The sequence below is a fragment of the Homo sapiens genome, chromosome 2 (assembly GCF_000001405.40).
Source record: "Homo sapiens chromosome 2, GRCh38.p14 Primary Assembly".
NCBI classification, from domain to species: Eukaryota; Metazoa; Chordata; class Mammalia; order Primates; family Hominidae; genus Homo; species Homo sapiens.
In genome coordinates, this window is record NC_000002.12 from 85,390,138 (window position 1) to 85,412,688 (window position 22,551).

The following is a 22,551-nucleotide window of genomic DNA, read 5'->3' on the forward strand; positions in this document are numbered from 1 at the left end:
AGAGTGTAATCGGCAGCAGAAGGTCATCCCCGTGGTGAACAGCTTCTATGCCGCCACATTCCTCCACCTCGCACATGTCTGGAGGACACAGCGGAAGACCATCTCAGACTCGGGCTTTGTCCTCAAAGGTGTGCTCTTTCTTCTGGGGAGGCCTAGGCTGAATGCACAGTGTCCCAGGTCCAGAGAGCCCAAGGTGGTTGCTAGACTGGTTTTGGCTGCAGTTCTTCCCCATCCACACTTTCTCAAATTCCAGCTTACCAAAATCTCCATCACCCACCCCCTGGAGTCTGCTAGTTCTCCTTTCTCTGCCCTGACTGTCGCCCTTTTCTGGTCTTATACTTATGACAAGCATATATTCTGATCAAAAATTGGGAGCCAGGGTCCAATAGTTGGACTATTCAAAGTTGCAATTGTGCAGACAAGGTAGAGTGTGTGGTCCCTGTGGCTGTAGCTGGCTCCCTAGCCTACCTCTCTGGTGATCTCTCCATCTGAGGCTCCTTCACTTTCTCTCCATGGGATAGGGGTTGGGGGTACTCCCTAGAGCTGCTAGGCTTGAGGCCTTGACTGTTGTGTCACCCAGAGCCCCCTCAAGCCTTCTGCTCCCCAATTCTCTCTGTTGCAGAGTTGGAAGTATTGGCCAAGAAGAGCCCACGGCGGCTGCTCAAGACCCTGGAGCTGTACTTGGCCAGGGTGTCAAAGGGACAGGCCTCCTTGTTGGGAGCACAGAAGTGCTATGGGCCAGAAGCCCCTCCCTTCAAGGATCTCACCTTCACAGGTGAGAGTGACCTGCAGTCTCACTCATCCGAAGGCGTATGGCTGATCTGACCTCCGAGATGAATGGAGGCTTAAAGGCTGAGCTGCAGGGGCTTTCAGGGGGTCAGTGGAGCCATGTCAGGAGCCTGGCCAGGCCGCACCCCTTGCTGTCTCAGCAGATGGGATATAGGAAGCTCCTGGGCTTAGCTGTGGGAAGCCAAGTACCCTCACCGGCATGGGACATGAGGGGCAGCTAGACTTCACCCCCTTCCCGCAGACCTGCCTCCAGAGCAAGGAGAATTCTGCCTTAATCTGTTGGGCTCCAGTCTCCGGGTTGAATTCCAGTGTATCCCACTGGGAGTGAATGGATCATGAGGTGGGATGGCCCCATCTGGATGTTCTGCAGATCCCCACATGGGAGGAGATTCCCAAGTAGAGGCAGCCAGAATTCTGACTCCCTGGCAGCAGCAGGGCTTTCAGGCACCAGTGTCTGTGTTGTTAGAACTCAGAGGAAGAGGCAGGGGCAGCAGCCGACAGGGGGCAGCATGACCCAAGCAAGGGGCCTGAGGCCTCAGTGGGGGTAGGGCAAGGAGGTACCTCACAGGTGGGTGTGAGGCCCCCTCTGGAGTTTCTGGCCATTCACTTACCCACTCTCTTCTCCCCCTGACCCCCGCTCCATTGTTTATGATGGAAAAACGGACATTTGGCTAGGTGTCTCTCACGGCTGCTCCATCCTAGCCCCCACAAGCTGGGGCTTCCTCCTGTAGATGCTGTGCATGCCCCATGATGAGTTTCTGGCCTAATTGAGGGAAGGAGGAAATTCATACCAGCAGTTTTCAAATAAAAGAATTGTTCTAATTAAGCGTCTCAGGTGTTTTTTTCCAAGACAAGTCTTGCACCATCCTGTGGTCCTGTCATTCCGGAACCTGGTTAGAGCCAGGCACACCTAAGGGTGAAGGCATAGGTGGGTTCCAGCCTGGTCATGGGCTCCAGGAGACAGAAGGTTGCCTGTGCTGCAGCCAAACCTTGCTGAATTCATAGGATGTCCATCCTCTGCTATACTTACAAGCCCAGAGACTCCTTGCAAGCTCTAGCCAGTGGACGAGGTAGCCCAGCTCTTGTTAAGATTGACTGGTATAAGGCATCCACACCACGTTTTTCCTGCATTTGCTTCTGGCGAAGGCCAGCACTGTTGGTTCCTTCCCAAAAGAGCCTCCAGACTGGGCGCAGTGGCTCACGCCTGTAATCCCAGCACTTTGGGAGGCCGAGGCGGGTGGATCACGAGGTCAGGAGATCGAGACCATCCTGGCTAACACAGTGAAACCCCGTCTCTACTGAAAATGCAAAAAATTAGCCGGGCGTGGTGGCGGATGCCTGTAGTCCCAGCTACTCAAGAGGCTGAGGCAGGAAAATGGTGTGAACCCGGGAGGCGGAGTTTGCAGTGAGTCGAGACTGTGCCATTGCACTCCGGCCTGGGCAGCAGAGCGAGACTCCGTCTCAAAAAAAAAAAAAAAAAAGAGCCTCCAGGCCAGGGTACCTGAGCTGGGGAGTGGGGGGCAGGTGAGAGCCCCACTATGCTACCTTCTGTCCTCCGGACCCCCTCAAGTGGAATGCTATGGAAGACCACTATCTGGCCCTGCAGGCCTCTTTAAGTCTGACCCACTGCAGGGGGAAACATCACAGAGGTAGGGAAGAGAGGTGGCCACCCAGGCGTGGAGGGGAACTCCTGACTGCTGTCAGCAGGATGCCTCAAGGGTGGGGCTGGTAACAAACCCCATAGTTTGCCTTGTGTTGTCTGCCTGACCTGAACTAACCCCTTCATTCACAATACTTCCTCCAGTCTGGTCCTCAGCTAACCAACAGAGATAGCAGGGAGATTGCTGGGCATGGCATGGCAGGAGTTGAATTGCAGGGGAGAAAAGCTGCAGCTCGGCCTCCACTTTGGAGTATCAGGTTGGGTGATTCTTCCCTCTGCAGGGTCCTTTCTGCCCACCATCCACCTGTTTAGTGCCCCCCAGATGACAGAGTACTCACAGCTTCAGACCCTGGAACATTAGCAATAATGTAGTCTGGCAATTTTAAATTTACAGTTCTGTTAATGAACTGGTTGTGAGGGGTACCTGAACCCTCTGAAAGCAGATGCAAAAATCTTTTTTTTTTTTTGAAATGGGATCTCACTCTGTCACCCAGGCTGGAGTGCAGTGGCGCGATCTCGGCTCACTGCAATCTCCACCTCCCGGGCTCAAGCCATCCTCCCACTTCAGCCTCCTGAGTAGCTGGGACTACAGGTTTGTGCCACCATGCCCAGCTAAGTTTTGTATTTTTGGTAGAGATGGGGTTTCACCATGGTCCCCAGGCTGGTCTCAAACCCCAGAGCTTAAGGAGTCCGCCTGCCTCTGCCTCCCAAAATGCTGGGATTATAGGCATGAGCCACCGTGCCCAGCCACAAAAATCTTAATCTGTGTATATTTATAGGGAAAGGGGCTAGGCCTTTCATAGGAGACTTAAAATACTCCCCGTCTCTACAAAGGTTGTCAGAACCACTAATGTAGTGCAACCTTTATTCTCTCCCCTTTAAAAAACCATCCCTGGCACCTGCTCTTTGTGTAGGCTGTCAAGTAGGGCTAAGAAGTCTATGGAGAAGACATGGAGGCAGATCCACAGAGGAGCTCATTTCTTTTTTATTTTTATTTTTTGAGTCGGAGTCTCTGTCACCCAGGCTGGAGTGCAGTGGTGCAATCTCGGCTCACTGCAACCTCTACCTCCCGGGTTTAAGCGATTCTCCTGCCTCAGCCTCCCAAGTAGCTGAGATTACAGGCATGCGCAACCATGCCCGGCTAATTTTTTGTATTTTTAGTAGAGAAAGGGTTTCCATGTTGGCCAGACTGGTCTCAAACTCCTGATCACAAATGATCCGCCCGTCTTGCCCTCCCAAAGTGCTGGGGTTATAGGCGTGAACCACCGCACCCGGCTGGGGTATCTATGGTATGGTTCTTGGCACAAATCAGCAAGTTCAACTTGCCAATTGATCAGAATTTTTGTTTTGGGATGAAAGAATCCAATTTCTGGAGCTCAGAAGCCACATAGTCCAGAGGACCTGGGGGTGAGGATGAGTCAGGGTGGTTGCAGCCTTGCCAGGCCTCACGGCCTCTGGTCCAAGCTGACACAGGCTCACTCACACCCTGCTCTTGGCCCCTGGGCATGCCTTCTCAGATGGGACCTCTTCTTGGCTACTGCATTCTCCCTGCTATTTAGCTCTCTAGCCTCTGACATCCCACCACCACTTCATTACCCAAGAGAATGAACTAAGGTCTAGCAAAGGAAAGTAACTTGCCTAGGATCACAGAGGCAGGGTAAGAACCAGACTGAAGACTGTCCATGCTAGCCTGGTGCTTTTCGCACAGCCCTGCAGTGGCCCTGGGCTCACCAGCCAAACATGCTGGGCAATGTGCCTACGAAGTAATAAGCCAGGCTTGGTACAATTGTGAAAGGCTGTCCTCTCTTGCTCAGTGGGCATATGTCACTTGAAGCTGCCTGGCAGTGCTTTATTAGGGCATCCGAAGAAATACTGCCTTAAATGGAACTGCATCCCAAGCCCATTGCCACAACCTTCTCCCTGTTGGGAATGTGAGACTGAACTGAACACCCGGATGCAACTGATCCTGAGGCCTGGCACTGTGCCACCTCCCTATTGGGTTCATGGCAGTCCCTGCAAGCCTGGCTGGGACTCCTCTGTCATGCAAAGCAGCTCTGGCCCCTCCAAGGCTGTCCAATTGTCATCTGTGTGCTACTCCACCCCCAGCATGGGGATGAACCCAGGTGAATAGGTGGGTGACAGTGAGAATCAGCCCAGGGCAGGTGGTGCAGGAAAAGAGCTGGGAAAGCACTTGTCTCCTTTATTGAACATCTGCAGGGGGCACCTCTGCACTGACCAGGCAGCCAGAGAAGCAAGCAGGCAGGTGGTGGGGGGCAGGGGAGCATGGGGCAGGAAGACGCCCACCCTCATTTCCAGTCCTTGAAAAATTGCTTGAAGATGGGACTCTCATGGCCCTGAGGCAGAATCTCCACCTGCAGGGACAGCGGGGGAGAAGTCTGGTTCACAAAGTTGCCACCTCTGCCTCTGCCCAGGAGGACAGGAGGGGGCCAGAGCCAGGGAGGAGGGTGTGGGCGCCTGGCCTGAATCCATGTGCAGTCCAGGCTGGGAAAGCTCCCCTGGATGAGCCATGAGATGAGAACCAAGATTTCAGGGACACAGACAGAGGCAACAGACTGCTTCAAGGGCGTGGGTGCACAGTTTAATAAATGCCACCAACGGTAGCTGAGCCCTGTCAGCTCCCCACGGGATGACTTGTGGACACTGTGCTGCGGCAGGAGGGGTGGCACCAGCCAGGGACAACGGCCCAGAGGAGGAGTACCCAGTTCTCTGGGCACCCAGGAGAGTGCTGCCCAACATCCTCTTTGAAAATAATAAGTATTTTGACATTTTGAAGGATTGAGATGGGCTTTCCCACTGGATGGGTCTAAGAGGGAGGCCTGGTTGTTCCTGACAGTGCCCAAGGCTCTCCTGCCCTTCCTGGCCAATTTGAGGGGTCAGGGGCCACAGGAAGAGCCCTAGGAAGAGGGCTGTGGTTGTGCGCATCTCCTCACCTGAGTGTTCGGGGCGTACTGCATGCGCGAGATGAAGCCCTCGGCCACCTGCAGGGCTGCCTGCCGCTCCTTCTCATTCGCTTTTCGCCCTAGATCATAGGAAGGAGATTTTTAAAAAGAGCAGGGACCCTCTTTAGCTGCCATCCCATTTTTCTTGAGGAAATTTAAGGGAGTCCACAGAAGAGCCAGCAATTTTTACAATAAATGGACCAGGGGTCCCAAGAATGCCGAGGGGCTCTTTGGAGATGTGGAGTCAGTCCCTTAAGAATTTTCCCAAACCGGCAGCACCAAGGTAGATGAAAACCCCTCGTCTGCCCGGGTCTGATCATGCAAAACTCTGCTCTGACCTGGGCCCCTGGAATATTTCAGGGAGGGGAACAGGTGTTCACCCTAGCATCAGACTGTGAGGCCGCAGGTCTCCTTTTCCTCTAGGACCCCTCACCTCTTGAATTCATCAAGCCTTTTCTGAAAAACTAAATAAGACAAAGGGTACAATTTATTATAGAGGTGATTTACTCCCATAATGCCAGCAGGGCTACACTGGCCTAACAGTTATGCTAACTAAGCACTTACAAAAATGAAGACCCCACGTAATCCAGTCATTTCTGCTAGCAGTCCTGAGAACTCAAACTGCTCATTCCAGGCTTTTTTATTTTTATTTTTTCTGAGACGCAGTCTCGTTCTGTCGCCCGGGCTGGAGTGCAGCGGCACCAACACGGCTCACTACAGCCTCAACCTCCCAGGCTCAAGCAATCTGCCCACCTCAGCCTCTCGTGTAGCTGGGACCACAGGTGCACGCCACCACACTCAGCTAATTTTGGGGGGTTTTTTTTTTGTAGAGAAGTGATATTTCGCCATGTTGCCCAGGCTGCCAGACATTTTTCCAAGGAAATGATACCGAAACGATGCCGTGATGTGGTTGGCTCTCTAGGCAGGCTATAAAATGCCATGAACTACAATGTATCTGAAATTAATATGCTGGATTCCTTCCTCTGTCAACTGACCAGCTGCCCCCCTACCCATGAGATCCTTCTCTTCCTGGCCTCCCAAGTTTCCTGTTTTTCCTCTGATTTCTCTTTCCATAGTTGTTGGGTTCCTTGCTCCGGTTTATACATGCTTCTGTGGGCCTCTGTGAACCCCCCTCTGCTTGGCATTGGTTCCATGGGATATGTGCCCTCTGGCAGGAGAGAAAAGGCAGCCCTGCAGCACACGCCTCTCGCTTTCCACTCTTTTGCTGCTCCCAGCTCCTCCCTTTCACTTCTATCCCTGCTGAGTTTCAGAAGCAATACTATGAAATGCCTGGTAGCAGCTATCTGTAGATACCCACCTACTTGTCTGCCTTCCTGACCAGGCTAGGGGCTGGCATTTTCTCCACCTTGGTTGACCCCACAACTGGGTGTTGAGCAAATGCTATTGCTGAAAATTCTCAGACCCCAGGCAGAGACTGAGAACAAGTTTGTTTCATTTTCAGTCAAACCAAGCAGAACAGGCTCTGCCCAACAGTGTTTCTATTTCCAGAAGATAGAATCTTTTGGAAAAACAAGTTCTACAGGTTCACCACTCACTGCATAAAATGATGTTTAATTTGTCTAAAATTCATTTCTGTCAAACCTTGAGACAGAATCCCAGGATCAGGGGTCCCAGAAGCCCCAAAGGTCTAGAGCTGGGCTAGGGCAGTGGTTCTCAAAGTGTGATCCCTGGAACCAGCAGCACAGACATAACCCATAACCTTGTTAGAGATGCATGTTCTGCCCCACTCCAGACCTAGTGAATCAGAATCTATGGGGGTGGAGCCCAGCCATCTAAACAGGCCGTGGGGTGATTCTGAGGCTTGCTGTAGTTTCAGAGCCATTGTCTAGAATTTAGGAGGTGGGAACAGCAAAGAGAAAATGGCGAGGCAGTGGCTCACATCTGTAATCCCAGCACTTTGGGAGGCCGAGGCCGGTGCATCACTTGAGGTCAGAAGTTCGAGACCAGCCTGGTAGTGAAACCCCATCTCTACTAAAAATACAAAAATTAGCCAGGTGTGGTGGCACGCACCTGTACTCCCAGCTACTCGGGAGGCTAAGGCAGGAGAATTGCTTGAACCCAGGAGGCAGAGGTTGCAGTGAGCCAAGATCGTGCCACTGCACTCCAGCCTGGGTAACAGAGCAAGATTCCTTCTCAAAAAGAAAGAAAGAAAGAAAGAAAGAAAATAGCAAGGCCTATGCCATGGCTCACGCCTGTAATCCCAGCACTTTGGGAGGCCAAGGTGAAGATCACTGGAGGCTGAGAGTTTGATACCATCCTGGGCAACATAGAAAGAACCCATCTCTATCTTTTAAAAAAAATTTTTAAAGAGAGAAAATGGTCAGCCAGAAGCATGCAGGCTTCCTGAGGCTGTCTTTTACAAGCAGCTAGACAGGCTGAGTCCTGCAAAGGGAAGCCTGCCCGGGTCAGAGCAGCTACAGGCATCTCAGGCTGTTACAGAGGAGCCACGTACCCTTCCAGATATAGATCTTGCCACAGAGCCCGTTGTCCAGCACAAAGCAGTCATCAGATATCAGCAGTTCAAGGGCAAATGGGCTGGAGTCAGCCACCTTGGTCAGGTTCATCTGTCCAGTGGCATCAGAGACCTGGGGAGGAGGGACAGTGCCTGATCTCACCCCCCACACACCAGCCCTCACCTCAGCCTGAGGAGGGGGAGGCTGGTCCTCCCTAGGTCCCTCCCACTGTGCCTCGCTGCCCACTGCCCAGGTCCCAGGAGCAGACAAGAGAGTGAAGACCTGAAAAGCAAATTCCAGGCAGCCCCACTCCCTCTCATCACCCCAATCCCTGCAGCACAGGGGCCCCGAACCCATTTGGAAATTAGGTGGATTCCAAATTACAAAGAAATGCACAGAATTCAAGAAAGAAAAGCTCAGCATTGGCTTCAAGCCTTCACCAAGCATAGGCTGGAAGTGAGGTGCACTCATCTCCTCAGGAGGGCCTGCCTTCCGCCCACTCCCCATCCTTGTCTCACTCCCAGCCCTGTATAACTCCCCACCTCCCACCTCGGTTCCAGCCCCACCTTCCCCCTGCCTTCTCCCCTCCACCCTGCTTGCATGCAGCTGTGCTGTGCAGGCTCCCACCCTCCCTGCTGCCGGGTCCCAGGGCAGGCTTGGGGGGCCCACCTTATACAGAGCTGCGGCCTGGGCATTTGCCTTGTCAGCTGTGAGGTCTTCCTCAGGGTTGCCCTCCTTCAGAGCAGGCTTGGGGCCCAGGACCTGCAGGGGCCAGGGCAGGCCAGGTTTATAGGGACCCCTGCCCTGGAACTTCCCAGCCCATCATGCCCAGGGCCACTGCTTCTGGTGGGGCAAACTGCGCCCTGCACTAGGGCACCCAGCAGAGGTGAGGTGAGTGAGGGCTGAGTCCAGCCCACCCCACCAGCCAGGCTGCTCAGCCTCGAGGACGAGCATCTACCCAGAGGGGCACCCTGTGAGCTGGCCACAGCCCTAGGCAGTACACCAGATGGCCCCTGCCACCCTCCACCGGCCACTCTCAGCCCTCAGCTCATCACCACCTCTCTTGGCCACTTTCAAGCAGAGGCTCCCAGCCACCCACTCCAATGTCCCCCAACCTGGATCATCTCAGCAGGCTCCTCCCCATCAGTGACAATCTCCACCTGGGCCTTGCCCTGTCGCTCACTGTCCCGGATGGCCAGGGCCAGGTCCCTCGCCTTGTTGCGTTCCAGGATGTTGGACTTTCCACCACACCAGGCGAAGATGTTCTGCAAGGAAGCAGGAAAGTCCGGGTCAGAGCCAGATGCCTGTGTCCTGCTCCCCAGCTCAGAGAAGGGCGCACAGCTCTCCCTCTCTCCTCTCTGAACTGTCCCTGAGGCAGGACAACCAGGAAGGCAGAGCACAGCACAGAGGGCTCTCTGAAAATGCCCACGACCACCCACTGCAACTGTTTCTCTGCCCACCTGCCATCTGTCTTCCTTTCTTTTTTTCGAGACAGGGTCTCACTCTGTCATCCAGGCTGGAGTGCAAAGACGTGATCATGGCTCACTGCAGCCTTGACGTCATGGGCTCAAGCAATCGTTGCACCTTAGCTTCTAAGCAGCTGAGACTATAAGCACTTGCCACCATGCCTGGCTAATTTCTTAATTTTTTGTAGAAATGGGGTCCCACTATGTTGCCCAGGCTGGTTACAAACCGCTGGGCTCAAGCCTCTTTCTTTTTCTTTTTTTTTTTTTTTTTTGAGATGGAGTTTCGCTCTTGTTGCCCAGGCTGGAGTGCAATGGTACAATCTCAGCTCACCGCAACCTCCACCTCCTGGGTTCAAGAGATCCTCCTGCATCAGCCTGCCGAGTAGCTGGGATTACAGGCATGTGCCACCAGGCCCGGCTAATTTTATATTTTTAGTAGAGATGGGGTTTCTCCATGTTGGTCAGGCTGGTCTCGAACTCCCGACCTCAGGTGATCTGCCCACCTCGGCCTCCCAAAGTGCTGGGATTACAGGCGTGAGCAGCCACGCCCAGCACCTCTTTATTTTTCTTCCCATCACATATCTCCTATGTTTAAACGTCTCTTAACCACCTATCTCCACCTACTAGAAAGTGAGCTTCATTAGGACATGAAGGTTTTGTTTGGCTTTGCTCACCACTGTGGGCCCACTGCTAAAACAGAGCCCGGCATGGATTTAGGCGCAAAATAAATATTGACTGACTGAGTGAAGGACTGGATGGGTGAATGGCTGAATGGCTCCTTGAGCGCAGCATCTCACACTTCTACCCACCGCCCTGCCAGGCAGAGCCCCTGTCACCTCTCCTTTTCTGGTAATGGCGAGGTCTGTTCACCTGTCCCCTTCCTTGTCTCAGCACGTGTAGTCCTCACCAAGAGCTCCTGGATTGATCTCCCTGCCCCAAATCTTCAGCGCCACAAGACGCAGCCCATACTCCTCAGCCAGCCAATCTCCTCATGACCTAGGGCTCACCTTCCACCTTGCTTAGGAATTTCCCTCCCCCTGCTCCTGTCCCCCAGCCCGGGTCCCAGTCTCACTAGACCCCTGGTGTGTGCATGTCTGCACCCTTCCCCACCTTGGTGGCTCAGCTCACCTTCTCCCTTTGCCTGGAGTGGCATCTCCCCTCCTATAGGTCTAGTCCAATGTCACCTTCCTGGGACAACTGGCTTCGGCTCAGGCTAGAGGGCCCCTCCCTGCCCCAAGACCCCCCCAGCACATGGCAGCTGTCCCCCTTAAAGCCCTCATCACATCCTGCCTCAGGTTATGGCAAGTGACTGGCCCATCTTGGCTGCCTCCCCAGAGCGAGCTTTTATGGTCCCTGTGCTGGCTCAGAGAGAGCATCATAGATTCACTGAACGAAGAGATAAATGACTGAATTAATGAATGGTCTGGCAGGCAGTGAACTCAGAGGCTTCCAAGAGGAGGGAAAAAGCTCCAGAGCATCAGAGGCAATGTCTAGATGGCAGAAGGAGGCTGGCATCAGTCCTTACAAATATAGGGACATTCTCCAATGGTCAGAGTGATCTCACTTGGAATGGGTTTACGGCTTCTCAGCTTCTCTCCCTCTTTCCTGGCCTCCTGCCCCTCCGTCCTTATAAAGGATGGTGCCAATACGGAGTGCTCAGTCTGGCCAGCCTACCCACCTGGCCCAGGTCCAGGATGAAGCAGTCCCCAGTGTTGAAGCTGTCCCAGTTCAGTGCCCGCTCGGTGGCACGGATGTTCTTCTTCCCCTTCACCTGGTAGAGTTTCTTGATGGCAGCTGGGGCTCCTGTGGAGGTCTTGTGAAATGCTGACTCCACACCACCTTCCTGCAGCCCAGACGGCCCATCTGAGTGGACTGACAGGAGACCCAGAGCCCTCTGCACCCCATCCCACTGGAAGACGGGCAGAAAGGTGGGGACCCGGCTCCAAAGGCACCCGGGTCTTCTGCAGGGTGAGAACCAGCCAGAAGCAGGGCTGGCTCTGAGGGAAGCTGCAGGGTGGGGGTGCCTAGAGGTGGGCTCTGACCTGGTACTTGAGGCCCCGTGGGAAGTAGCTCATGAAGAGGTCAGACTCATTGCCCTGCACCTCGCGGTGCTGCACAGGCCGCTCTCCCAGCAGCGTGTTGAGGTGCACAGCCAGCACGGCACAGGCCCCCTGCTCATCCCGGGATGACTGCTGGCCTGGGACAAGTGGGAGAGGGCAGGGCAAGGCCCTTGTGATCCATACCAGCCCCCTCCCTCCCCTTCCTGGGCCCAACCTTCCCCCATCCAGATCCCCTTACCTATCCACAGGTGCAGATGGGAAACCTCTTCTGGGCCATTGTGCAGCACTAGGTAGGAGTCCCCCGAGAAGAAGACGCCCTGGTTCTCTTGCGCCACAGGCACCGGCTTCAGCTTCTCCACCCGCCACACATGCAGGCCTGGATCCTGCACTGAGCCTGGGAATGGAGAGCCACTGCGAGAAGAGAGAGGGTTGACAGCAGCCTGGACCCACTTGCCCAAGCACAGCCCTGGGCAGGCCTGGCGACTGCAGTCTGGGGATGAGGAGAGCAGTGGGGAGGGGCAGCCCTTGGAGGTAAAGAAGGGGAAGTTGTGAAAGGAGATGGGGCATGCAGCTTACCTCTGGGGAATGGCTGTGTACATGCTGTCTTCAGATCTGGAAAGAAAGAAGAAGCCATTATTATTACAAATGCCACAAAAAGGACCTCTCACGTGGGGCTGGAGAGGCCCTTTCCAGTGGCCAAGTACTTTCATATTCATCAACTACTCCACCTCTAGGAGCCCTAGTTCCATTATGCAGACAAAGAAAATGAGTCTCAGAAATGAGTCCAAGGCCACACAGCTAGTGAGTGGTTCATGGAAATAAGGTCTCTGACCCCTGGGCCAGGGTCTTCCGTCTGCTGAGATCTCACAGAAATTAAAATAAAAGCAGAAATTAACAGAAAACAGAAACAAGAGAGAAGAGCAATGAATTTTTTTTTTGAGACTGAGTCTCACTCTGTTGCCCAGGCTGGAGTGCAGTGGTGCGATCTCGCCTCACTGCAACCTCCGCCTCCCGGGTTCAAGTAATCCTCCGGTCTCAGCCACCCAAGCAGCTGGGATTACAGGCAACACCATCACACCTGGCTAATTTTTGTATTTTTAGTAGAGATGGGGTTTTGCCATGTTGCCCAGGCTGGTGTTGAACTCCTAACCTCAAGTGATTTGCCCATCTCAGCCTCCCAAAGTGCCGAGAGTATAGGCATGAGCCACCATGCCTGGCCTCAAGTTGGCTTTTTTTTTTTTGGAGACAGAGTCTCACTCTGTCACTCAGGCTGGAGTGCAGTGGCGTGATCTCAGCTCACTGCGACCTCTGCCTCATGAGTTCAAGTGATTCTTGTGCCTCAGCTTCCCAAGTAGCTGGGATTACAGGCCCACACCACCACGCCTGGCTAATTTTTGTATTTTTAGTAGAGACAGGGTTTCACCATGTTGGCCAGGCTGGTCTTAAACTCCTGACCTCAGGTGATTCACGCGCCTCAGCCTCCCAAAGTGTTGGTATTACAGGCGTGAGCCACCGTGCCTGGCAAGTTGTTTTTTTAAACCGATAAAATTGATAAATCTTTAGACAAACTGATTAACAGAAAGAGAAAACACAAATATCAATACAGAAATGAGAGATGTGAGATCACCATAGATTTTACAGATATTAAAAGGATAAAGGGAATATTATAAAAACTTTATGCCAATATATTCAACCACTTATATAAAATGGGCAAATTCCTTCAAAGACACAAATTATGAAAGCTCATTCAAGAAGACACAGATTATCTGAACAGTGGCCATATCTATTAAAGAAAATAAATTTGTAGTAAAAAACTCGTTCCCCCGCCAAAAAACCCAAGCCCAGATGGCTTCCCTGGTAATTTCTACCAAAAATTTAAAAAGGACATAATACCAATTGTACACAAAATCTTCAAAAAAAGAGATGACAGAACACTTCTCAATTCATCCTATGCTGCCAACATTCTCCTGATAACAAAACCAGATAAATATATTATGCAAAAAGAAAATTACAGATCAGTATCTCTCATGAACATACACATACAAAAATTAACACAATTTGGCTGGACACGGTGGCTCACGCCTGTAATCCCAGCACTTTGGGAGGCCAAGGTGGGTGGATCATGAGGTCAGGAGTTCGAGACCAGCCTGGCCAACATGGTGAAACCCTATCTCTACTAAAAATACAAAAATTTGCTGGGTGTGGTGGCACGTGCCTATAGTCCCAGCTACTCAGGAGGCTGAGGCGGGAAAATTGCTTGAACCCAAGAGGCAGAGGCTGCAGTGAGCTAAGCCCATGCCATTGTACTCCAGCCTGGGTGACAGAGTGAGACTCCATCTCAAAAAAAAAAAAAAAAAAAAAAAATTAACAAAATTTTAGCAAATGAAATCAAATAATATATAAAAAATAAACCATGATGACCAAATGAGGTTTATCCCAGGAATGCAAGGTTGGTTTAATATCTGAAAATCAGGGTGATGATAGCTAATAATAATGCAGTGTATATTTCAAGATAGCCAGAAGAGAGGATTTGAATGTTATCATCACAAAGAAATGATAAATGTTTAAAGTGATGGATATGCTAATTACCTTGATTTGATCATTATACAATATATACACATACATTGCATATGTACAATGAAACATCACACTGCTCCTGCTAAGTATGTGCAATTATTATCTGTCAATTATAAATTTAAAATAAATAAATAAAGCCGCTCACAACGCAAAAAAAAAAAAAACAGGCCAAAATTTGAAAATCAATGCTATACACCCTATTAACAAACATGTATGTGTAATCACCTCAATAGATGCAGAAACAGCATTTAGCAAAATTCTACATTCATTCCTAGTTTAAAATTTTTTCAAGCCTGGGCAATATAAGGAGACCACAACCCTACAAAAATTTTAAAAATCAGCCAAGGCCAGGTGCAGTGGCTCACACCTGTAATTCCAGCACTTTGGGAGGCCGAGGTGGGTGGATCACGAGGTCAGGAGTTCGAGACCAGCCTGGCCAACATGGTGAAACCCTGTCTCTACTAAAATACAAAAATTAGCTGGGCATGGTGGCATGCGTCTGTAATCCCAGCTACTTGGGAGGCTGAGGCAGGAGAATTGCTTGAACCCAGGAGGCAGAGGTTGCAGTGAGCTGAGATTGTGCCACTGCACTCCAGCCTGGGTGACAGAGCAAGACTCTGTCTCAAAAAAATAAAATAAAATAAAATAAATAAAAATCAGCCAAATGTGGTAGTGCAAGCCTGTAATTCCAGATCCCAGCTACTCAGGAGGCTGAGGAGTGAGTATCGCTTGAGCCCAGGAGATAGAGGCTGCAGTAAGCCAAGATCATGCCACTGAACTGCAACCTGGATGACAGAGTAAAACCCCCTCTCAAAAAAAAAAAAAAAATTTTTTTTTTACCCACAAACTAGGAATAGAAAGAAATTTCCTTAACCTGTTAAAAAGGCATCTATTAAAATACAACAAACAAACAAAAACCCTTCACCTAACATTATATTTAATGGCTGCTCTAATTCTAAACTCCCTCCCTGAGAAATTTCACCCACTCCCAGGCATCAGCTATCAATTCTGTATGCCCAGCTTCCCTCAAATGCCAGAATGATGAACACTTTTTCTGGACAAAAGTCATTCAAGGGAAAAAATGCTAAACGCAAGTATTTTTTAAAAAGATATTATCTTTTTAAAAAATTCAGAAAATGCAACAGCTACGGCTCCACTCACTGTCGCTTTCATAGGTTCCCATCACTAGAGGATTTCTTTTTTTGGCTCAAAATGCAGAGATCACAGAGCCAGCATGCACTTCGTACATAATACAATTCATGCTGTGCATCCATTTGGACAGAGTTTGTGTAAGATGAGCCCCAGTGGCACAGGGTAAGGGCTTGGGGAATTGGAGGGTAAAAATGCAAGCTGGCACCATTAGGAGATTCTTGGGGGCTGGGGCAGCAGGATCAGGAAGTGCAATATTTCGCAGGGGCCAGGGAAGTCAGGGGTAGGGGGAAGGCAGATGACAGAGCAGAAGGTATTAAGTCTGAGTAGGAAACAAAGAGGGACAGGTCAAGGGCAGTGATAATGGATGTGAAATGCTGTGTGAATTATGACTTTCCTTTTCCTTTCCCAACCTACAAAATAGTGGAAGGCATATTTTGGCACCACGATTCCGGAAGAGGACATGCAGAGAGCAGAGGTTTGCGGAGGGAAACTTTAACGTTTCTCCATCCCACAGAGGATCACATGCTGTGCCCACATCCCCTGCAACAGGCAGCCCAGCCTGTGACTCAGGCCTGAGCTGGTGAAGTGGCTGCCCCAAGCTCAAGCCATCAGGGAGCGCTCAAGAATGAGACACGGAGTGCGCCAATTGTCACCTTTACTATTTTTCATTCTGTGTTTAACTCAAAATCAGGCAGCCTACATGCCAGAGAGCCACATCAGGGTTTGGATGAAAGGGGTTTGGCAGGCCGGGTGCGGTGGCTCACGCCTGTAATCCTAGCACTTTGGGAGGCCGTGGTGAGCAGTTCACTTGAGGTCAGGAGTTCGAAACCAGCCTGGCCAACATGGTGAAACCCCGTCTCTACTAAAAGCACAAAAATTATCCGGAAATCACTTGAACCTGGGAGGCGGAGGTTGCAGTGAGCCAAGATCCATGCCACTGCACTCCAGCCTGGGCAATGGAGTGAGACTCGGTTTCAAAAAAAAAAAAAGAAAAGAAAGGAGTTTGGCTGCTCATTAGAATGACCTTGGGACCTTATTAAAATGTCGGTACTGACAAAGATTCTTTGCTTGGCCAAACTTTAACTAGGCTTCTGAACCACCCCGTAGGCCCATCTGTGTGCTTGTAAAATCCGGTTTTAGCAAAAGAACCCTGCTAAGGCCATTTACCTAGAACCCCCTACCCTTGATATCTGGTCGATCTGATAATCGTGGATATCTGATTGGGTTCCTCAACACCCTGCCCCCGCCGCCCCAGTGATGTCTGATCACTCTGGCCTGTATTCAGCAAGAATCCTGTTAGGGGCCGGGCACAGTGGCTCATGCCTGTAATCCCAGCACTTTGGGAGGCCAAGGCGGGCAGATCACCTGAGGTCGGGAGTTCGAGACCAGCCTGACCAACATGGAGAAACCCCATCTCTACTAAAAATACAAAATTAGCTGGGCTTCGTGGCTCATGCCTGTAATCCCAGCTATTCGGGAGGCTGAGGCAGGAGAATCACTTGAACCCGGAAGGCAGAGGTTGCAGTGAGCTGAGATCATGCCATTGCACTCCAACCTGGGCAACAAGAGCGAAACTCCGTCTCAAAAAAAAAAAGGAATCCTGTTAGCTCAGTCTAGCCAGAATCTCTTTACCCTTGATGTTTCCTCTTAGTAATTTTCTTTTTTTTTTTTTTGAGACAGAGTTTCACTCTGCTGCCCAGGCTGGAGCGCAGTGGCACAGTCTCAGCTCATTGCAACCTCTGCCTCCTGAGTTGAAGCAATTCTCCTGCCTCAGCCTCCTGTGTAGTGGGATTAGAGGCGTGCACCACCACATCTGGCTAATTTTTTGTACTTTTAGTAGAGGTGAGGTTTCACCATGTCAGTCAGGCTGGTCTTGAACTCCTGACCTCCAGTGATTGCCCACCTTGGCTTCCCAAAGTGCTAGGATTACAGGCGTGAGGCACTGCGCCTGGGCCATATTTTTTTTCTTTAACAGTGCCCAAGCCCCTGGTCTGGGGATTCTGATTCCACAGGTCTGGAATGGGGCTTGATCACCCATATTTTGAACATATGTTCAAAGTGATGGTAGTAGTGCCAGTGAATTCTGTCCAGAACAGTGTCAAATGCTCACCTGCACATTAGAATCATTTGGGGGCTTTTGAAAAACCCCAGTGCCAGCCAGGCATGGTGGCTCATGCCTGTAATCCCAGCACACTGGGAGACTGAGGTAGGTGGAATGCTTGAGCTTAGGAGTTCAAGACCAGCCTGGGCAACATGGTGAAATCCTGTCTCTACAAAATATACAAAAATTAGCTGGGCGTGGTGGCGCACACCTGTCATCCTAGCTACTTGGGAGGCTGCAGCACAAGAATTGCTTGAACCTGGGAGGTGGAGGTTGCAGTAAGCCGAGATCACACCACTGCACTCCAGCCTGGGTGACAGAGTGAGACTCTGTCTCAAAAAAAAAAAAAAAAAAAAGTAATTTACAGAAAAATAAGAAAGAAAAACCCCAGTGACTAGCTTCCATATTGGACTCATTAAAACCAGACTCTCTAGGTGGAGCCTGGATGTCAGTGTTTGAGAAGCTCCAGATGACTCTAATGCTTGGTCAGGGTTGAAACTCCTGCTGCCTCATTAGATCTCTGTCCCGAGACCTTTTGTTCCAGTCTCTCCTGGGGAAGGGTCCACCCTGACCTCTGGCCTTTCATTCTTTCCCCTATCCCAGCCCTCTGTCCAAGCCCACAGCTCCTTGAGCTTCCTCAGTGTCCATGTTCACCCTTACATCCATTAAAGCCCCCTCATCCTAGGCTGGGCACAGTGGCTCATGCCTGTAATCCCAGAACTTTGGAAGGCTGAGGCGGGTGGATCACTTGAGATTAGGAGTTCAAGACCAGCCTGGCCAACATGGTGAAACTCCATCTCTGCTAAAAATACAAAATTAGCCAGGCATGGTGGTGCGTGCCTGTAGTCCCAGCTACTTAGGAGGCTGAGGCAGGAGAATTGCTGGAACCCGGGAGGCAGAGGTTGCAGTGAGCCGAGATGGCACTACTGCACTCTAGCCTGGGCAACAGAGGAAGAATCTGTCACACACACACACACACACACACACACACACACACACACACAAGCCCCCTTATCCTTCCAGGCCCGTATCAAGCCCCAGCTGTCCAAGGAAACTTCCAGGACATTAAGTGGCCTCCGCCTTCTCTGGGAGTTCTCCCAGCCCTCTCCCCTGGGAGCACATACTTTAGCCTGTTTTATAGCATAAACTGGCTGCTTCACATCTCAACTGGAGCAAGGACACACCTGATGCCTCTGTTCCTCAAGCAGCCCAGCAAAGAGTCTATTCCATTCCACTCAACGTCTGTGCTGGGGGCTTGGCACTGGGGGTGACATGCACAGAGACAAAGAATAGCCCATGTTTTATGGTTTAGCTGCAGGGTGCAGTGAACAAGGGAGCCACCATACCCAGTGAAACCGCAGACGAACTTCCTCTAAGTGGGGAATGTCACAGAATCACAGATGTCAGCATTAGAAAGTGCTAAAGTTGAAGAGGGGAGCTGGGGCCGGGGGGGAGGAATAAAACAAAAAAAAGAAAGCGCTAAAGTTCTTATCTAGTCCTGCTCTGCCTGCACCGCCCTACACATACCCATACACGCATAGTGCAGAAATCTCTTCTATAGCATCCCTTACCATCCTCTTCTTGAAGGCTTCCAGTGATGGGAAACTCACCACCTTACCAAACAGCCTCTTCTACACCTCTTAAAGCCTTTACTTTTCCCCACTCTGCCATAGTGTGGTGAGTTATGGACCCGCCTACCTCCACTACTACACTGTAGGGTCCTTTAGGGCAGGAAGTGTATTTTGCCTCTGGATCTAGCTGGAACCTCATGCAGGTGCTCAAAGAATGCATTTGATTAACTGGACCTGCTGGGCTCTGATTATTAGACTGGGGTGGCACCTAAGGGATAGCCCAGGATTTCAAAAGGCTGGGACAGGCTGGAGCAGCCCCAGGAGGCAGAGAGCAGGGGCTAGGGGTCCCAGACTGCCATGGGGCTGGGGGAGGGGAGGACGCAAGTCCTGCTGGCTGTCCCATGGTCCTGACTTAGGCTGTCTTTGAGGACACACTGGGGGACCTCGGAGAGGAGGTCACCGTTACACACACCTTTAAGGAAAGACTTGACAGCCATCAGAGGGACAAAAATCCTGCCGGGGTCCAGTGGTACCTTTGCCTTCCTCAGACCCTGATTCCACTGACCCCCAATAGGTCTCTTCCCTTCACAGTCCCTGCTTGCCCCTAGGTGTGAAATGAAACAGCACCTCCACTTCTCCTGGTGGAGGTAGGTGCCCACCCTCGAAACCAAACTGAATCTCCCAGCCTGGGACATGGCATTCTCAGAATCTAGGTCCAGAGGCCTCATTTGGGGATTCCAAATGGTTTTTCCCCTGATACCAAATAGGTCTCCTACCCTTCCCCAGGGTCAACCACTTCCTCCCTCCCCACCTCCTACCTCAGACAGTCCACCTAGACCCTCAGCCAAGGTCTTCCAGAGTTTGCAAAATAATCAAATGTGCCACTTGCATTTGAATTCAAATGGCTAGGACTGCCCTGCCCCCTCCCCAAGCCACTCCCACCCAAATAGCATCACACCACAGTCCTGTCTTGGGGACAGGCAGCTTCTAATCTGATTTCACCTCCAGTCTGGCTGAGGGCCTTCAGGAGCAGTGTGGTGGCCTCCGTCAGGAGGTCTGGCACAGCTGGGACAAGCCCTGACCCAAGAGTTCCTCCATGTGCAGCATGGGCACAGCCCACCCATCCTCCCGGGCAGCTTCACAGCTGCCATCAGATCAGGTGCCTGGAGCCTGGCATAAGGCTGGCAGGACAGCAGGCTGGGGGAACTCCACCCTGGCACAATGTGGTATCCAGAAATGTGGGTCTCTGTTCCCAGGCCACCACAGCCAGCCCTCGCCTGCCCACCCAGGAGGGTACCAGCCAGCCGCGCTGGCAGCCACCCTGCCACCTTCACCTTTCAACACTCCTACTTTCCTTTCTTCCTCCTACCTCTGCTTCGTAGGTTCGTCTTCCTTCCAGCCTGCCCCACCCGGCTTCTCACTTCCCTCTTACTTCTCTGGCTGCCCCAACCACCAGCCCCACCCACCAGCCCCACCCCTGGGCTCCTTCCCCAGCCGGTGTGGAGGCGATGTCCCCCGACAGGGAGGGGCAGGCAGTGCTGGGAGGCCAGCAGGCCTGAAGCAGAAGAGCAGTCACTGGGGTGGGCAGTGGGTATGCCAGGCCGTCTCCTCAGAGGGGCACACAGGGAGGCTGGAGGTCCACACAGCCCCACCACAGTGGCCTCAGCCCGCTGCAGGTCACAGCCAAGGCAAATCAGGGAGGGCATCTCTGAGTCTGAGACCAGCAAGGAAAGCCATGTTCTCCATTCAGGGCCTGGGGCAGGCGCGGCACAGCCCCCACCGCTGCTGGGTTAGTCACATTTTCTGGGCAGGGTCACTGGCTTCACATTACTTTTTCCTCCTCCCTCAGTTTGTCTTTCTCCTTGCCCTGAATGCAAGTATTTGATTTTTTTTAAGATCAGTTTTTTGGTTTTTTTTGTTTTTTTTTTTTTCCTGAGACAGGGTTCACTGTCACGCAAGCTGGAGTGCCGTGGCATTATCACCGCTAACCGCAGCCTTGAACTCCTGGGCTCAAGCGATCCTCCTGCCTCAGCCTCCTGAGCAGCTGACACCACAGGCCTGCACCAACATGCCCGACTAATTTTTTTATTTTTTCTGGAGACAGAGTCTTGCTACTCAGGCTGGTCTAGAACTCCTGAACTGAAGCAATCCTCCCACTTTGGCCTCCCAAAGTGCTGGGATTACAGGCGTGGGCTACTGCACCTGGCTAAGCTCAGTTCTCAGGGAATGGCTGAGGCCATAAAACATTCTTCACCATCTTCCGCATGCCATGCTGATGCCTCTCAGGTCTCTACCCTTTGGTCTGCTTCTCATTCACCAGATGTTTATCATCATGACTTCTGGGCCCTGGGCCCTCTGAGAGACAGCCCATCCTGGGTTGACCCAGGGCAACTATCCTGCCTACATCACAGTCACTAGACCCTAGAGCTTGTCTCCTCCAACTCGCTGGCTTTCTGGAGGACACCGAGGTCCTGAGAGCACAAGAGACTGCCCACAAACACACAGGGAGTGGAAGCCCCTGCAAGGGAGGCTCCCATTCCCTTCTGAATCCCTGGGGGAAGGATGAGCGGACTCAGTATGAGGCTCCAGGAGAAAGTGAGCACCCAGTTATGCAGCCACACAAGCGTAGTTCCTCTGCCCAGAACCTAGCCGGCCTGTCCTGGAAAGGTATTGGTCAGCAGGCTGGCTTGAGACAAGGCTCCAGGTTCAGGGTCAAGGCCTGGGGACCCTGGAGCAAAATCTGGAACAAATCTTCCTAATTAGCAGACCTTCAAACAAAACCTCATTATTTGACTGCGTGGGAAAAGTCTGGAGAAAATACAGTACTGGATAGGCTGGGCATGGTGGCTGTCTCCGGTAATCCCAGCACTTTGGGAGACTGAGGCAGGCAGATTACCTGAGGTCAGGAGTTCAAGACCAGCCTGGCCAACATGGTGAAACCCTGTCTCTACTAAAAATACAAAAATTAGCCGGGCATGGTCATGGGTGCCTGTAATCCTAGCTACTGGAGCGACTGAGGCAGAAGAATCACTTGAACCCAGGAGGCGGAGGCTGCAGAGAGCCGAGATGGCGCCACTGCACTCCAGCCTGGGAGACAAAGCAAGACTCCATCTCAAAAAAAAAAAAAGCAATACTGGATGAATGTTTCTCATTGAAACGAAATTGATAAAATTTCACTAGAGCAAGACGGGAAGTTAAATCTTCTCCCCAAAGAACATGGCCTGTAGCTAGCATCCAAGTGTCTCCATGGCCAAACTGCCAGGCTTAAAAATAGGGTAATATGGGCCGGGCGCGGTGGCTCACGCCTGTAATCCCAGCACTTTGGGAGGCCAAGGCGGGTGGATCATGAGGTCAGGAGTTCGAGACCAGCCTGGCCAGCATGGTTAAACCGCCATCTCTACTAAAGACACAAAAAATTAGCCGGGGGTGGTGGCGCATGCCTGTAATCTCAGCTATTCAGGAGGCTGAGGCAGGAGAATCGCTTGAACCCGGGAGGCAGAGGTTGCAGTGAGCCGAGATTGCGCCATTGCACTCCAGCCTGGGTGACTGGGCAAGACTCAGTCTCAAAAAATAATAATAATAACAATAATAATAGGGTAGTTTGGTGGAGGGTGGGAGGAGGGAGAGATTCAGGAAAATAACTAATGGGTACTAGGCTTAATACCGGGGAGACAAAATAATCTGTACAACAAAGCCCCATGACACGAGTTTACCTATATAACAAACATGCACATGTACCCC

At 51.6% G+C, this 22,551-nt stretch overlaps 2 protein-coding genes across 42 annotated transcripts in view, besides 4 other annotated features; one reads left to right on the forward strand and one right to left on the reverse strand.

Annotated features, from left to right (window-relative positions):
- The window catches only part of ELMOD3 (ELMO domain containing 3), a 36,980-nt gene extending 35,369 nt beyond the window's left edge, over window positions 1-1,611 (forward strand). For 15 of the 26 annotated variants that reach the window (NR_138132.2, NR_138131.2, NR_138133.2 and 12 more), the window contains 2 exons: window positions 1-128; window positions 623-1,611. Coding sequence is in view for 23 of the 26 variants with exons in the window: in XM_047445971.1 (XP_047301927.1) it covers window positions 1-128; window positions 623-825 (331 nt within the window). In the remaining 3 variants the exon portion in view is untranslated. The other 11 variants (XM_047445966.1, XM_047445967.1, XM_047445965.1 and 8 more) reach the window with 2 other exon arrangements.
- Window positions 1,465-22,551, reverse strand: part of CAPG (capping actin protein, gelsolin like) — a 27,939-nt gene continuing 6,852 nt past the window's right edge. For 4 of the 16 annotated variants that reach the window (XM_047445953.1, XM_011533122.2, NM_001256139.2 and 1 more), the window contains exons 2-10: window positions 11,986-12,021; window positions 11,648-11,820; window positions 11,392-11,546; window positions 11,028-11,192; window positions 8,999-9,148; window positions 8,553-8,645; window positions 7,883-8,015; window positions 5,401-5,489; window positions 4,616-4,821 (exon numbers count right to left, since the gene is read on the reverse strand). In XM_047445953.1, the coding sequence (XP_047301909.1) occupies window positions 4,756-4,821; window positions 5,401-5,489; window positions 7,883-8,015; window positions 8,553-8,645; window positions 8,999-9,148; window positions 11,028-11,192; window positions 11,392-11,546; window positions 11,648-11,820; window positions 11,986-12,008 (1,047 nt within the window). In that variant the 5' untranslated portion in view covers window positions 12,009-12,021 and the 3' untranslated portion in view covers window positions 4,616-4,755. The other 12 variants (XM_047445951.1, XM_047445948.1, XM_047445950.1 and 9 more) reach the window with 10 other exon arrangements.
- Window positions 11,693-12,192: an enhancer, noted in NCBI's record as "H3K4me1 hESC enhancer chr2:85628953-85629452 (GRCh37/hg19 assembly coordinates)". NCBI's record gives its function as "activates a minimal SCP1, AML or CMV promoter by ChIP-STARR-seq in naive H9 embryonic stem cells {active_cell/tissue: H9 hESC(naive)}" and the evidence as "EXISTENCE:reporter gene assay evidence [ECO:0000049][PMID:30033119]".
- Window positions 15,675-15,724: an enhancer, noted in NCBI's record as "active region_16122". NCBI's record gives its function as "activates an Ori minimal core promoter by ATAC-STARR-seq in GM12878 lymphoblastoid cells {active_cell/tissue: GM12878}" and the evidence as "EXISTENCE:reporter gene assay evidence [ECO:0000049][PMID:35858748]".
- Window positions 20,247-20,296: a silencer, noted in NCBI's record as "silent region_11696". NCBI's record gives its function as "represses an Ori minimal core promoter by ATAC-STARR-seq in GM12878 lymphoblastoid cells {active_cell/tissue: GM12878}" and the evidence as "EXISTENCE:reporter gene assay evidence [ECO:0000049][PMID:35858748]".
- Window positions 20,407-20,456: a silencer, noted in NCBI's record as "silent region_11697". NCBI's record gives its function as "represses an Ori minimal core promoter by ATAC-STARR-seq in GM12878 lymphoblastoid cells {active_cell/tissue: GM12878}" and the evidence as "EXISTENCE:reporter gene assay evidence [ECO:0000049][PMID:35858748]".